Source organism: Homo sapiens, chromosome 10, assembly GCF_000001405.40.
Source record: "Homo sapiens chromosome 10, GRCh38.p14 Primary Assembly".
Lineage (NCBI taxonomy): Eukaryota > Metazoa > Chordata > Mammalia > Primates > Hominidae > Homo > Homo sapiens.
The window spans coordinates 133,056,973-133,073,311 of record NC_000010.11 but is presented as its reverse complement, the minus strand read 5'-3'; the positions used below and the strand labels follow the sequence as shown (position 1 = coordinate 133,073,311).

Here is a 16,339-nt window from a genome sequence, read left to right as displayed (position 1 = left end):
TGGCACCCACTTGTCCTTGAGGCCGTAAGGCCACCTGGGGCCACCGGGCCAGCGTTGCAGCATCAGCCCAGATCCCAGAAGGCAATGGGGGCTCCTGCTGCCCAGGGTCCTCACCAGCCTGGAGCCTCCGGCCGTGGGCCCACCGACCAAGCTCACGGCCTGGCCCCGGGGGCTCGTGGACCCCCAGCAGCCCTGGGCACCCAGCTCCAGCGTTTCCTCACAGACGAGCATGGCAGCTCCGGGACTTGGCTTGCGTGCGCTGGGCGGTGGGGTGCCAGGTGGGTGAGAGGATTGCAAGACGGAGGTAAAAATAACACTGTTCCCAGAAGCAATTTCCCCAAACGAGTCGGCGGCCTCTGGTAATTTGTTGCCTAGGAAAGTCGGGAACAAATAAAGACGCCCTGTTTTCTGAGCAGCTGCCTTCCCATCTGCACGGCCGCTGGGCTCCTCTCTGAGCAGGTCAATAAATCCAGGTCCCAAGAACCCTGAGGGGCGCCCAGGACGGTGCCGGTGCCGTGCCGGAAGGGGTGGGAACAGTTAAGTGGGTCGCGCCCACTTAACTTTAAAGACTGTGTTACAGGAGAAACAGACTGAGATAGATGATATTAAATTGGAAATGAAATTAAAAAGCTTGATGTGTGAATTCTGTGAATGCACCACTTACGGTTCGTCAGTTCTCAGCGAGGTAGAGTCACCCGTGCGAGCTCGGCACTTGGCATCCAAACTGGGGCGCTCCAGTGATGGGGCAAACCAGGCAGGGCCAGGCAGTCCCCCGGGCAGGACAGACCCGGTGGCCCCTGCCCAGACCCGCCCTCCAGCCGGACCTCCTGTGGTGAGTGCAGGTCCGTCAGCATCCGTGGCAGCTGCAGGCCTCCCGGTCACAGCCTCGGGCTCCCTGGGGGATACGCCGCTTTTGTGTGGCCAGGCTCCGCCCTGAGCCGACTCTTCCTCCAGTGAAGAGGCTCCCGGGTGTCCTTGGTCACCAGGACCTGCAGGCCCTTCCCCGGGCAGATGTCCCACCTGTGGGCGGCCCTCTGGAGTCCAGGCTTCTGCCCCTTCCTCAGCAGGAATCTCCGGCATCCCGCTTCCAGGCTATGGCCTGGGAGGACGTTCTCAGGCCCATGGTGCTGTCTGGGCCTCACTCTCCCCACGGCTGCCCCAGTCTCCTGGAAGGGCCTCATCTGCAGGCCCCTGGCGCCACCAGCCTCACCTGAGTCCCTGCCTGGATGGTGTTGCCACCAGCAGGCAGCCACTCGGGTGGAGACGGGAAGCCCAGGAAGAGCCTGTCTCTGCAAATAGCCACTTCTGAAGACCCACGCCCATGAGGGCTCGCCCTCGGCCGTTCTCCCACCCTGAGGTGCCCGGAGGCATGTGACGTCTGGCAGGGGCATCTGCTGCCCAGAGAGCAGCTGTGGAGTCCCTCCTTCTCCAGGGCTGGGGCCAGGCCTGCATCGCCCTGCCCTGTGCTCCACCCCACAGCTTCCCGAGGCCCCCAGGGCTGCCCTCCCTCTGCCAGTGATCCAGAGCCCCCTTAGACCCCCAGCTGGGAGGCCACATCCTGGGGAAGGAGTGTGTGGCTGGACACTCTCAGCCACAGCCAGCCAGTGACCCTGAGCAATAGCAGTAGCCAGGCTAAGGAATCCGCTGTGCCTGGCCCCTGGGGTGAGAGTCAGTTGGTTCATTTTAAAGTCACTGGTTCATGACATCTACTGAGGGCTCAGGGTGTGTGAGGCTGGGGGGCCACAGGCGACTGAGTCTGACCCTGGGGGAGCAACAGAACAGTGGGGAGGCCCGAGGAGGGGAGAAAGGGAGGGAGGGAGGGAGGGAAGAAGGGAGAGAGGGAAGGAGGGAGAGAGGGAGAGAGGGAGGGAGAGGGAGAGAGGGAGGGAGAGGGAGGGAGGAAGAGAGAAAAGGAGGGAGGGAGAGAGAAAGGGAGGGAGGCAGAGAGAAAGGGAGGGAGGCAGAGAGAAAGGGAGGGAGGGAGAGAGGGAGGGAGAGCAGGAGGGACAGGGTTCAGCTCTGTGCTGGAAGCCCCCCAGCTCCTGTGCTCTCTCCTCCCTGGCTGCGAGGCTTCTTGGTGTGAGTTCACCTCGGAAGGGCCTCTGCACGCAGGCTTTGGGGCTTGGGTCCTGGGGGAAGCTGCCACAGATCCCAGCAGCACCTTTGCTCCGGGAAAGCTGACGTTGATGAGGGCCTCGATGGGCCGGTACGTCCATCTGCCCCGGGTGTGGCCCCCAGCGGTTGGGCCCCGGCTGTCTGGTGACTGTGGTGTCCGGCCCCCTCGGCAGTGTGCACCGTGCGCCATCTGTGCCTGGTGGTGATGGACGTTGCCCAGAGAAGCACATCTGGATTTCAGCCGCGAGTGGTTCCCGTGGCCTCGCATCTGCCGGGCAGGTGCCCCTTCCTGGGTCCACTGCGCCCCCCTTAGAGGCTGGGGTGTCTTCACTCAGATCCGAGATTGCAGAACAATGGAGGAGTTGATCTCTGAAATTGCTCCTTGGGCCTCCTAATAGGTGACTAGGTGACTGGCCTGTGCGGATGGGCGAAGTCCCACGGAGGATGTGAGCCGGGTGGGCGGCCCCAGAGGAGAGACAGGCACAGAAATAGCTGTGGCTCAAGTCACCAGGGACAGGCACTCGCCTGAGGCAAAGGAAGGGAGGAGCAAGCAGGCAGGGTGTCCTGGAGGAGGCGGCTTTGAAAGATGAATAGGAACCAAGAGGAGAGGAGAGAAGTCGTGGGAAGGGCCCAGGGCAGAGTGACGAGGAACGCCAGCGAGTCAGTGAGTGGTGAGGGCCTCAGGGCCAGCTCCTCCGAGCCTCAAAGGCCAGCGGGCAGAGATAGAGAGAGAAATGAGGTCAGAACAGAGCTTCTGGTCGGGCGCAGGGCCTCACACCTGTGATCCCGGCACTGTGGGAGGCAGAGGTGGGAGGATCACTTGAGTCCAGGAGTTCTAGGCCAGCCTGGGCAACATAGCAAGACGCCATGTTTACATAATAAAAGATGGAAAGATTCGCCAGGCGTGGTCGTGTCTACCTCTATTAGCAGCTACTCCGGAGGCTGAGGTAGGAGGATCTCTTGAGCCCAGGAGGTTGAGGCTGCAGTGAGCTGTGATCGCCCCACTGCACTCAGCCTGGGTGAGAGGGTGAGATCCTGTCTCTAGAAGAAGAAAAGCTGTGCTCTCAAAGATTCCCCAGTGCAGGGTGAGCTGCTGGTGGAGAGGAGCCTGGGGCTGCGGGGAGACCTCCTCGGCACAGGGAGGTCAAACATCCCAGGGCGTGGCTTCACCTCTGCCCCCTGACTCTGCAACCCAGGGCCCCCCGACTCTGCAACCCAGGTCCCCCCGACTCTGTACCCCATGGCCCCCTGACTCTGCACCCCAGGGCCCCCTGACTCTGCACCCTGTGGCCCCCTGACTCTGCACCCTATGCCCCCTGACTGCACCCCAGGGCCCCCTGACTCTGCACCCTACGCCCCCTGACTCTGCACCCCCGGGCCCCCTGACTCTGCACCCTATGGCCCCCAGTCTCTGCACCCTACGGTCCCTGACTCTGCAGTATGGCCCCCTGACTCTGCACCCTGCGCCCCCGACTCTGCACCCCAGGGCCCCCTGACTCTTCACCCTATGCCCCCTGACTCTGCACCCTGCGCCCCCGACTCTGCACCCCAGGGCCCCTGACTCTGCACCCTATGCCCCCTGACTCTGCACCCTATGGCCCCCTGACTCTGCACCTTACAGCCCCCTAACTCTGCACCCTACGCCCCCGACTCTGCACCCTACGGCCCCCTGACTCTGCACCCTACGGCCCCTTGACTCTGCACCCCAGGGCCCCCTGGCTCTGCACACTACGGCCCCCTGCCCTCCCACGCCTGCCCTGGGCAGAGGCGGGCGAGGTTCCTCACACTGCTCCAGGAAAACATGGACATCCTCTGTAAACACAACAGAACGCCAAGTACATCTCCCAGTGCTTCTAGAAAAACGTCGGCCGCCTTCCCACCCCTTCCTTCGCTCCATTGAGGTCACTCATGGGACAGGGTTGGTGTGAGCACCCCAGAGGCCTGCCTGAGACCTGCTGACGGCCCCTCGGCCTCCCCGCCAGCTTCCCAGCTGTGGGTCCCAGGGTCTGAGGCCTCCCACAGCAGCTGGCAGGAGCTGGAACCAGGCCCGGGGCGGCCGATCCGCGGGGGTTGGGCCAGCGAAGGGCACGATGAGGTTTCTCCAAAGGTCCTTGTGCGCCATGACCACACGGAGCCCTTGGGGCCGGCCTCACTCAAGACATAAGTGAATGTGTTTATTGGTTTTGGTCTGAAACAGATGAAAAGCCACCAAAGGGTTTTGCAATAATTAAAACCCAGCCACGCCGGCCGCAGGTGCTGTTTGAGAGGCGGCATCCACAGAGAGGAGCTCTCTCCTGTCTCCCCACAGAGCCCGAATCTGCTTCTGCATGAGAGACAGGAGGCTGTAATTGCAGAGTTAATTAAAAGAATAAAGTGATGACAGCCCCAGGGGCTGCAGAGAACTCAGGGAAATGGCAGATTTGGGACTCAGGGCCCAGGCTCAGCTGCACAGTTGGGGCCACAGGCCGGGATTTGGCCCCCACACACCCAGGGGGAGGCTTCTCTGAGCACTGGAGCTGCCCAGAGCACCGGGTGTGCCGGGAGCCCGGGCAGATGGCGGGGCCAACCCTCATCTCAGGGCCAGTCCTGGTGGCAGCCAACGGGGACCTCACACCAGCGTGATCTGAACAGGGTCAGCACTTGCCAGCCACCTTCGGGTGATGTGGGGCAGACCCCTGGGTGGCTGTTCCCAGGACACAGAGAGCTGACAACCCACGGAGCAAAGAGACCCCTTCGTGCACCCCAGCGCCGGCTCACTCTCAGCCGAGTTCTCAGGGCTTCTGCTGCGCCATGCTGTGGCCAGGGGAGGGCGGGGCCTCTCGTCTGTGTGACCATGGATGCTTGGACTGGATACTTGCCCAGGTACAGGTGCCCTGCCCCTTGGTGCAGAACATTCTGGAACCTCTCCCAGCTTTCAGCCAATGGGCTAAGAAGCCGCACAGCCCTCCCATTGCAGAGCAAACCCACAGCCAGCCAAGGTGTGAGGTGCAGCCAGCGTCGTGGGGCCAAGTGGAGCCATTTTGTGAAGGCCAAGAAGGTCCAGTGTCCACCTGCCAGGCTGTGCAGGAGACCAGGGTGCCCCTGGCCTCTGCCCCAATGGCTTGATGCCGCTGCCTCCCTCCACCCAACCATCTGTCCCTGAGCGAGCCTGGCCCAGGGTCATGGCCAGCACTTGATGAGTGAAGGCGGCTGGGGGTGGGAGCAGGGGGCTCCGGGAGCAGGCTTTCTAGCACACATGACACGTGTCTGCTGCTGTGGCCAGCACAGTGCTGGGGATGGGGGTGGGGCAGGCAGGCAGGGGCTCACAGCTCTGCTCTTCACTGTCCCAGGAGGAAGGTCCAGCATCTCCCAGGTGGTCCCACTGCAGCACATCCCAAGCTAGGACGGGGAGAAGCGGCCCAGTCCCCACCCCCTGGCCCGCACCAGGCCACAGCACCCTGAAGTGTGGGGCAAAGCCTCCCGCTGTGTATCCGCGTGCCCATGTGTCCATGCGTCTGCCTGTCTGTGTGTGTCTGTCTTTCACACACACCCACGCTGACCGGCTCCTGCAGGCTCTGGGAACCGCAGGCATTTCGGGACTGTTCTGTCACTGCCTTTTGCATCCTTATTCAGTAATGGCCATTTTTAGAAACAGCACTAAACCTTTCATTTCTTTACATAAAACCAGAATAATTTTCACAAAGTAGTTGAGGAAGTCCCAAACACATTTGTTTTGTTAACCTAATTTGTATATTTATGATACTTAACCTCATTTAAGAGAAAGTTACTGAGAAAACATTTGTTCTCACAGTTTTCTCCTCCCTTTCTCAGTGGTTTCCATGAAGCGAGCTGCTCTGGCGTCTGAACCCAGCGTCTGCGCCTGCACAGTGCGGTCTTCTGAGCCCAGCTGCTGCCGCGGAGTCCCCCCCTCTAGAGTCCGGCCTGAGCTCTGATCCAGGAGGAGGGAACGGAAAACCCTCCTCCAGCTCCTCTGCTTCTTTGTTACTTATCAGCTAATGTTTCTTTGCGGGGAGCTTAAAACATGATTTTGTTCCTAATATTTCATCCAGTTTTGGAATTTCTATAGAACAACTTCTTTATGATGTGGATCCGTAAATGTCCGCCCCGTGTGTCAGTATTCACAGGCATAATGAATTCCGGGGAAAAATAAATGCTTAAGGCTGGACCGCTGCTCCTTGGAACCAGCCTTCCTCTTTTTTTGAAGGTGAAACCATCCTGTGTTCCTTTCCCTCTGTTGCCCTGTCCATTCTCCAGCCATCTGTTTGTTCGTTCTTCCTCTTCTTGTCCATGCCTGCCAACCACCACCCACCTATCCCTGCACCCACCCATCCACCCACTCATCCATCCATCCCCCACCTACCCCTCCACCCCTCCACCCCTCCACCTCTCCACCCATCCACCCTCCACCCATCCACCATCCACCATCCACCCATCCACCCATCCACCCACTCATCCATCCATCCCCCACCTACCCCTCCACCCCTCCACCCCTCCACCTCTCCACCCATCCACCCTCCACCCATCCACCATCCACCATCCACCCATCCACCCATCCACCCACTCATTCATCCAACATCCATCCATCCATCCACCAACCATCCACCCATCCACCCTCCCCCATCCACCATCCACCCATCCACCCATCCATCCACCCATCCACCATCCACCATCCACCATCCACCCATCCACCCATCCACCCACTCATTCATCCAACATCCATCCATCCATCCACCAACCATCCACCCATCCACCCTCCCCCATCCACCATCCACCCATCCACCCATCCATCCACCCATCCACCATCCACCATCCACCATCCACCCATCCACCCACTCATTCATCCAACATCCATCCATCCATCCACCAACCATCCATCCATCCATCCTCCCCCATCCACCCACCCATCCATCCACCCATCCACCCTCCCCCATCCACCATCCATCCATCCACCCATCCACCCACTCATTCATCCAACATCCATCCATCCATCCATTCCCCACCTACCCCTCCACCCCTCCTCCCCTCCACCCTCCACCCATCCACCCACTCATTCATCCACCCATCCACCCTCCACCCATCCACCATCCACCCATCCACCCACTCATCCATCCACCCATCCACCCTCCATCCATCCACCATCTATCCACCCATCCACCCTCCCCCATCCACCCACTCATCCACCCACTCATCCATCCATCCATCCATCCACCCACCCATCCACCCACTCATCCACCCACTCATCCATCCATCCATCCATCCACCCACCCATCCACCCACTCATCCACCCACTCATCCATCCATCCATCCATCCATCCACCCATCCATCCATCCATCCATCCACCCTCTCATCCATCCACCCGTCCACCCTCCATCCATCCACCATCTATCCATCCCTCCATCCACCCATCCACCCACCCATCCACTCACTCATCCATCCATCCTCCATCCATCCCCCACCTACCCCTCCACCCATTCACCATCCATCCACCCATCCACCAACTCATCCATCCACCCATCCACCCATCCACCCTCCATCTATCCATCCATCATCAATCCATCCACCCATCCACAATCCACCCACCCATCCACCATCCATCCACCATCCATCCATCCACCCATCCACCCACTCATCCATCCATCCTCCATCCATCCCCCACCTACCCCTCCACCCATCCACCATCCATCCACCATCCATCCACCATCCATCCATCCATCCATCCATCCATTCATCCACCCTCCATCCATCCATCATCCATCCATCCATACATCCACCCACCCACCCACCCACCCATCTATCCATCCCCCACCCACCCATATGTCTCCATTTCCCATCTACCCACCTGCCCACCCACCCTTTTACAAGGACCCTCTCCCTGTGGACAGGGGAAACATACAGAGCTGCAGCTGGGAGGGGGAAGAGCAGAGGAGTGGCCAGCCCGAGGAGGGGAGGGTCCCTGAAGCCTGGGAGTCAGGGTACAGATTGGCAGGAGACAGGTTGAAAAGGCAAGTGGGGCTGGGTACACAATGTAACAACAGAAAGAAAATCACTAAGAACCTAGACACTAAGCAGCTTGACCTACCATCTTGACCTACTTGACACACGCTGGACCCTGCACACAGCGGAATGCCACCTTCTCAAGTGCGTGTGTGTGTTCACCCAGCGGAACGCCACCTTCTCGAGCGCATGTGTGTGTTCACCCAGCGGAACGCCACCTTCTAGAGTGGGTGTGTGTGTTCACCCAGCAGAACGCCGCCTTCTCGAGTGGATGTGTGTGTTCACCCAGCGGAACGCCACCTTCTAGAGTGGGTGTGTGTGTTCACCCAGCAGAACGCCGCCTTCTCGAGTGTGTGTGTGTGTTCGCCCAGCTGGAGTGCCACCTTCTCCAGTGTGTGTGTGTTCGCCCAGTGGAACATCGCCTTCTTGAGTGGGTGTGTGTGTTCACCCAGCGGAACGTCGCCTTCTCAAGTGGGTGTGTGTGTTCGCCCAGCTGGTGTGCCACCTTCTCGAGTGTGTGTGTGTGTTCGTCCAGCAGAACGCCGCCTTCTCGAGTGTGTGTGCGTGTTCGCCCAGCAGAACGCCGCCTTCTCGAGTGGGTGTGTGTGTTCGCCCAGCTGGAGTGCCACCTTCTCGAGTGTGTGTGTGTGTTCGCCCAGCAGAACGCCGCCTTCTCGAGTGGGTGTGTGTGTTCGCCCAGCTGGAGTGCCGCCTTCTCGAGTGTGTGTGTGTGTTCGCCCAGCAGAACGCCGCCTTCTCGAGTGGGTGTGTGTGTTCGCCCAGCGGAACGTCGCCTTCTCGAGTGGATGTGTGTGTTTGCCCAGCGGAACGTCGCCTTCTCGAGTGGGTGTGTGTGTTCGCCCAGCTGGAGTGCCGCCTTCTCGAGTGGGTGTGTGTGTTCGCCCAGCGGAACGTCGCCTTCTCGAGTGGGTGTGTGTGTTCGCCCAGCTGGTGTGCCGCCTTCTCGAGTGTGTGTGTGTGTTCGCCCAGCAGAACGCCGCCTTCTCGAGTGTGTGTGTGTGTTCACCCAGCAGAACGCCGCCTTCTCGAGTGGGTGTGTGTGTTCGCCCAGCTGGAGTGCCACCTTCTCGAGTGTGTGTGTGTGTTCGCCCAGCAGAACGCTGCCTTCTCGAGTGGGTGTGTGTGTTCGCCCAGCTGGAGTGCCGCCTTCTCGAGTGTGTGTGTGTGTTCGCCCAGCAGAACGCCGCCTTCTCGAGTGGGTGTGTGTGTTCGCCCAGCGGAATGTCGCCTTCTCGAGTGGATGTGTGTGTTTGCCCAGCGGAACGTCGCCTTCTCGAGTGGGTGTGTGTGTTCGCCCAGCTGGTGTGCCACCTTCTCGAGTGTGTGTGTGTGTTCGCCCAGCAGAACGCCGCCTTCTCGAGTGTGTGTGTGTGTTCGCCCAGCAGAACGCCGCCTTCTCGAGTGGATGTGTGTGTTCGCCCAGCTGGAGTGCCACCTTCTCGAGTGTGTGTGTGTGTTCGCCCAGCAGAACGCTGCCTTCTCGAGTGGGTGTGTGTGTTCGCCCAGCTGGAGTGCCGCCTTCTCGAGTGTGTGTGTGTGTTCGCCCAGCAGAACGCCGCCTTCTCGAGTGGGTGTGTGTGTTCGCCCAGCGGAATGTCGCCTTCTCGAGTGGATGTGTGTGTTTGCCCAGCGGAACGTCGCCTTCTCGAGTGGGTGTGTGTGTTCGCCCAGCTGGAGTGCCGCCTTCTCGAGTGGGTGTGTGTGTTCGCCCAGCGGAACGTCGCCTTCTCGAGTGGATGTGTGTGTTTGCCCAGCGGAATGTCGCCTTCTCGAGTGGGTGTGTGTGTTCGCCCAGCTGGAGTGCCACCTTCTCCAGTGTGTGTGTGTTTGCCCAGCTGGAGTGCCGCCTTCTCGAGTGTGTGTGTTTGTTCGCCCAGCTGGAGTGCTGCCTTCTCAAGTGTGTGTGTGTGTTCGCCCAGCTGGAGTGCCACCTTCTCGAGTGTGTGTGTGTGTTCGCCCAGCGGAACGCCGCCTTCTCGAGTGGGTGTGTGTGTTTGCCCAGCGGAATGTCGCCTTCTCGAGTGGGTGTGTGTGTTCGCCCCGCGGAGCGCCACCTTCTCCAGTGGGCGTATGTGTTCGCCCAGCGGAACGTCACCTTCTCGAGTGGGTGTGTGTGTTCACCCAGCGGAATGCTGCCTTCTCGAGTGTGTGTGTGTGTTCGCCCAGCGGAACGCCGCCTTCTCGAGGGCGAACACCCCAGGTTGGAGGTGGGACCCCGCTTGCTTCCAAGACGACCTTAGAAAGAGGATGAGAGGCGCCTTCTACTTGCAAACACCGAGACTTCCTCTAACGCAGCAGGAACTGAGATACGTGCTGCTGACGAAATGGACAGGAAACGGCCGGGAATTGACCCGCACACACAGTGGGATTGGGGAGGGAGGGGCCCGCAACCCAGGGCCCTGGACCCACGCCGAGTCCCATGGAAAAAGGGCTGAGCCCCACTCCACACCACCCTGGCACTGGCCTGAGGCGCTTGCAGATCTAATGGGAAAGACAAGAGAGAAGCTTCTGGGGAAACCGAGAGACGACTCATCTTTGAGGACTCGCAAAGACAAAGATTTTTAAAAAGAAGGCATAAAAAGAACTGTTTGTAAAGAAACATCAGGAATATTGGACTTCATTAAAATTAGGAATTTTTGATTATTAAAAGGCACCATGATGAGTTACAAAGTAAGCCGTGGCTTTGGGAAAGGTTGTCTGCAGGGCGTGTTGCCATGTGTGTCCGGGTCCAGAAAGCCTGGAGAACTCTATCTCGAGAGAAAGATGACGGATGATCCAGGTAAAACGGCAGCTGAGTCAACAGGTTCTTCCCAGGAGCGGACGGTGGTGGCCAGCAGGCACGTGACACGTTACTTAACGTGTTGAATCACTGAGGAAACGTGGAATGAAAGCACAATGGTGCCGCCAACACCCTCCCCCACGCAGCTAAAATGGAAAGGACCGACGCGCCCCCTACGCGGGTGCGGAGCCCCCGGAACTGGCTATTTTCATGCGGTGTGTGCTGGGACACCCATTTTGGAAAACAGCGTTTGGTGGTGTCTACTGGTGCTAAGCTATGTATATCCCATGACCCGAATTCTAATCCTGGGAAATCACCCAAGAAAAATGAGTACGTATGTCTGCTAAGGAAAGGGACATGAATGTTCTTATCAGTATTTTTCCTAAAAGCCAACATTTGGAAGTGACCTGAATGCTCAGTGTTGGAATGAATGCTTTGGGGCGTACGCACATGGGGAGTGCCACACAGCAATGGAAAAGGGGCCGCCACGGGGAGGGGTTCCACCCCCAGGAGGGCCTGCGACACGGGACCCATTCATGTGACACTCCAGGGTGACCCTGGGCAGGCCCAGGTCTGACGCTTCTGCCTGTGGGCCAGGTGGCTAAAAACGGGAAGTGTGAAGCCCCAGCCACCTGCACGCCGAAGGTGCAGCTCTGCTGCTGCTGAGTCCAGCCCAGCAGCCACGGCTGTGGGAAAACCCTCCCCAAATCAGGGTCTGGCCCACCCCTCCAAATGGGCTCCTGGATGAGGATGGGTGCCTGGAAGCTGGAAGAGAAACAGCGTGAGGCAGAGAGAGGCTCAGTGGCCCTGCCAAGCCACCCATAGGCCGTTCTGGCCAGTGGGGCCACCTTGCTGTCTGTGAGGAGGGGGTGAGGCCAGGTGGCGGGCCATTCGACTTTCAGCAGGAAACCCCGTCTCTGCAGCCGGCACCCGGGTGGAGGCGAGGGTCACGGTGGAGGCCTCGGATTCAGGATTCAGCATGAAGGGGAGCGTGGCCCACCTCGAGCCACAGAACATTCTTGGACAGAACTTTTGTTGGTGCCCTAAATCTAAACAGCTAAATAAGAATATTTTTTAAGCAGCAGCATATTTAACCTTTAGAGATGATTGAGCTCTTAATGGGGTTCAGCTGTGAGACTGGACTCTGACGTGGGCTTTGTTTCTGAGAGCCTTTGTCTTCCCCTGTGCACGGAGCACGCAGCTGCCCCAACACGGAACATCACCTGTGCACTCACTGCACGCCGGGCAGGGCGGCTGGTCAAGGGGCCTGAGCCTGGAGACGAGTGTGGAGCCTGGAGCACCTGCAGGGCCCTCACCTGGCTTAGGAGGGCACAGAGGAAGGAAGCGTGGGTGCCTATGGGTGGCCCCCGCCGGGAGGGCACAGGACTGACAGGGGAGGCTGGTGTCCTGAGACTTGAGGAGGGGAAAGGCCTGACCCAACCGTGGAGGCCTGGGGTGCTGGCTGGGGGGCTTGAGATTGACCTGGCTGGCAACTGGGGGTCATTAGGGGCAGCTGAGAGGGGGCGGCAGGCTCAGCTTTGTGCTGGGAGTCCCAGGGACAGGGCCACACATGGCGTGCCTGGCAAGAGGCAGGCGGTGTGACTCGATCGGCCATGGACCACCCTGTCAGTGTGCCCAGAGGTCGAGGACCTTGGCCTGTGTTGCAGACCCGGCCAGCCGGCCACAGGTGGTCCCACCCTCAGTGAAGGGGCAGGCCCTCCCCAGCCTGCAGCAGGCTGGTCTGGGCTGCAGGGTAAGCCGGATCAGCTGCACTCTCTCGGCGCCTGTGGGCTCCCCAGCGAGGCTCCCTGCCCAGCCCTCGGCCCTCGGCCCTCGGGGAGGCCAGTGGTGGGCAGACTGGGAGCTGCAGCCATCCCTGGGGCTCATGGGGAGGGTTTCCCTGAGGCGGTGGCGTCGGGGGTCCTGCTTGCCCACCCTCCTGACCCGTGGCCTTGCTGGGCCTCTGGAACGGCCAGTTTGGTGCCAGCTGTGGAGCTTTCTTTCGTCTGGAAGTCACCAGAACCATCCGCTACCGAGCCCACCTGCTGTCTGTGCAAAGGTGTTGCATGGGGAGTCTCCGAAGAGGCCGTGCAAGTCTCCCTGCACTGGGCCCGACTGGGGCGGGGCGGGTGTGAACCTGCCGGAAGTTACTGCCGGGTGTCTCCTGGCTCCCAATCCTAATTTCCTGCTTGGTGGGCACCGCAGGCTGTCAGGCTGGGGAGGGGTCCTCCTGCCACCCAGGCTGGCCGCCCACCTGCCCACATAGACGGAGACCAGGAGCCTGGGGCGGAGGAACGACCTTGAAGCCCCAGCTCGTGTACATTAGGGGGTGTCTTTACTACACTGTGTAGCGTGAAAGACGGAAAGTGAATGTGGTGTGTTCGTTTCTCTGGAAGTGAGCTGGCACGGCGGGCAGGTGACTTTGGAAGACCTCTGTTTCCCTGCACATAAAATCGAGCAGGTCCCCGGCCCCGGCCACACACACAGAGCCGGATTGTTCCTTCAGGATGAGGAGCAAAGATCTGGGCAGAGGCTGTGTGTGTGGGCAGCAGCCACCAGAAGTCCCTCAGGGTGGACTGGATGCCCCCAGACCCGTGTCCCTCAGGGAGGGCCCTGAGACCCAGGCTGAGTGGGGGGTGGGCAGCTGCCAAATTCGGGTGGAGTCCCCCCGCCCTGCCCCCTTGGCACCTGGAGGTGCTCAACACAGTAAGGACACATGTGGAAGCGCGGAGCCCTGGCTACAATCTGGGAGTCCAGCCCCTCTGGACAGAAGGCCCAGCTCCCTCCACTTTCCCCAGGTAATTTAAAATCACTATGTTCACCTGGGGCTGAGAGAGCTCTATATCTTAGGGAAAGGTAAATCCCACTTTAAATTCCACTAAGCATTTGGGAAGAAATAAAAAGAAAAGACATGGAAATGGAGGCCGGGCGTGGTGGCTCACACCTGTAACCCCAGCAGTTTGGGAGGCCAAGGTGGGTGGACACTTGAGTCCAGGAGCTCGAGACCAGCCTGGGCAGCATAGCAAGTCCCCAGCTCTACAAAACATAAAAAATTATACTCAGGAGGCTGAGGCAGGTGGATCACTTGAGCGTGGGAGGTCGAGGCTGCAGTGAGCTGAGATTGCGACACTACACTCCAGCCTGGGCCACAGAGCAAGACCCTGACTCAAGAAAAGGAAAAAGAAATGGAAATAAAGGTAACGGGTGCTGCTGACTCCAGACAAGACTTGGGACATCCCACGGTGACGACACAAAGTGACAGGAGCAGGAGTGGCCCCTCTGTGTAAAGGGCTGGTGAAGAGGCAGTGGGTGAGGCTGGATGACATTTTGAGTTCAATCAGCAATTTAATCGATGATATTAACAGAGCCATGATATGCAAGGGAGGAGGGCTGACCACACACATCAAAGTCCTCCACCTCCCACCCCCCAAAAGGCTGGTGATGGGGTGACAGTGTCAGTCAAGGCTGCAGGCCCCACGCCCTGAGGAGGCCGGGAGGGGCACCCCGGGAGTGCCGGCTTTAGCAGTGTCCAGCCTCTGATGGCAAAACACAGAAAAGGTGCATGGAAGACACAGGAGCTTAGGGGGCAAAAGGAAGCTCCTTCCCCAAGCAAACAAAACCCACAGAAGCCAAACCCTTCATAAGAGCACGAGGGTTGGATGATGTTAGAACCACAAACCAAAACCAAGATGTGAGCAGGAAAGAGAAGTCAGAGAAAGAAGGAGCTCTCTGAAATAAAAAATTAAACTGTGGGAGTGAGAAACGTCCTGTGGAGGGGCTGGGAGGAAATCCCAGGAAATTCCCAGAAAGGAGAGGGCGAGGCTGCTGCAGCGCTGACCCAGGGGCCACCACCCAGGCAAGCAAAGGAACGGAGGGGAGGGAGGAAGTGAGGACGGGAACTTCCACACCCGAGGGCATGAAGAGCCCCCCCAAGGAAAACCACCAACCCACAGGCACCACCACAAACGGCAGAGGAGACTCCAGAGGAGGCAAGGGAGCACCTGCAGGCCCCTCACCTGCCTGGTCCCTCACCTGCACATACTCTCACCTGCAGGGCCCTCACCTGCCCAGTCCCTCACCTGCACATACCCTCACCTGCCCGGTCCCTCACCTGCACATACTCTCACCTGCAGGGCCCTCACCTGCCCAGTCCCTCACCTGCACATACCCTCACCTGCGGGGCCCCTCACCTGCCCGGTCCCTCACCTGCACATACCCTCACCTGCCCGGTCCCTCACCTGCACATACTCTCACCTGCCCGGTCCCTCACCTGCACATACCCTCACCTGCCTGGTCCCTCACCTGCACATACCCTCACCTGCCCGGTCCCTCACCTGCACATACCCTCACCTGCCCGGTCCCTCACCTGCACATACCCTCACCTGCGGGGCCCCTCACCTGCACATACTCTCACCTGCCCGGTCCCTCACCTGCACATACACTCACCTGCACATACCCTCACCTGCCCGGTCCCTCACCTGCACATACCCTCACCTGCCCGGTCCCTCACCTGCACATATCCTCACCTGCCCGGTCCCTCACCTGCACATACCCTCACCTGCCCAGTCCCTCACCTGCACATACCCTCACCTGCGGGGCCCCTCACCTGCCAGGTCCCTTACCTGCACATACCCTCACCTGCCCGGTCCCTCACCTGCGGGGCCCCTCACCTGCCCGGTCCTTCACCTGCACATACTCTCACCTGCCCTGGGGCCACAGGCACCAGAGCCTGGCTTCTTATCTAGGGGCATGAGGTTCTGAGAACCAATCCATTAAGTTTGTGGCAGAACGAGGACTGTGTGACTTGTAAGGACACAGAAAATGTATCTCCTGATACACCATTTCTCAGAAAGTGCCTTGGGTGATTCCTGATGAATAGGACTAAAAGTCGCTCTTCCCAGGCCCTGGATAAACAAAGTCAAAATCAAGGCACAGCCCACAGGTGGGAGCCAGGGAGGAGCCTGTGGGGGGTGGAGGGGGATTTGCACTCACTCAGCCTTGCCCTCCTCTCCAGGAAGTGCACACCTGCCCTGCCCTCCTCCCTGTGAAGGGCATGGGTTGGGGTGAAATCACCTGCTCCCTCCTCTGCTCAATGCTCCAGGTTGGAAGGGGCCGTGGGGCCCCTGTGCTGGTCACCTGATGCTCGGCCCCTCCTGCATCCGAACTGCACCTCCACCCGCCGGTCGCTGCTGACCTCAGCCCTTCAAAGCTGTCCTCCAGTTGGTCTGGGGCTGCCTCATCCTGCTGGGGTTCCTCCTCCCGCCCTCCTCACCTGCCTCTGCACCTGCCACAGGGCATCACCACTTGCGGGTGAAGCCAGCCTCCTGGGAGGGAGGCCCTGAGCTGATGGGTTGTCCACCGGTGCAGGCGCACAGGCTGGGCTCACACAGGCCCCAGGAGTCTGTGGCAATGCCCTGGAGTCCCCGGAG

At 59.8% G+C, this 16,339-nt stretch overlaps 3 annotated features.

Moving 5' to 3' along the window:
- Positions 1,000-1,681: an enhancer, noted in NCBI's record as "H3K4me1 hESC enhancer chr10:134885135-134885816 (GRCh37/hg19 assembly coordinates)". NCBI's record gives its function as "activates a minimal SCP1, AML or CMV promoter by ChIP-STARR-seq in primed H9 embryonic stem cells {active_cell/tissue: H9 hESC(primed)}" and the evidence as "EXISTENCE:reporter gene assay evidence [ECO:0000049][PMID:30033119]".
- Positions 9,050-9,552: an enhancer, noted in NCBI's record as "H3K27ac-H3K4me1 hESC enhancer chr10:134877264-134877766 (GRCh37/hg19 assembly coordinates)". NCBI's record gives its function as "activates a minimal SCP1, AML or CMV promoter by ChIP-STARR-seq in primed H9 embryonic stem cells {active_cell/tissue: H9 hESC(primed)}" and the evidence as "EXISTENCE:reporter gene assay evidence [ECO:0000049][PMID:30033119]".
- Positions 14,683-15,675: an enhancer, noted in NCBI's record as "OCT4-H3K4me1 hESC enhancer chr10:134871141-134872133 (GRCh37/hg19 assembly coordinates)". NCBI's record gives its function as "activates a minimal SCP1, AML or CMV promoter by ChIP-STARR-seq in naive H9 embryonic stem cells {active_cell/tissue: H9 hESC(naive)}" and the evidence as "EXISTENCE:reporter gene assay evidence [ECO:0000049][PMID:30033119]".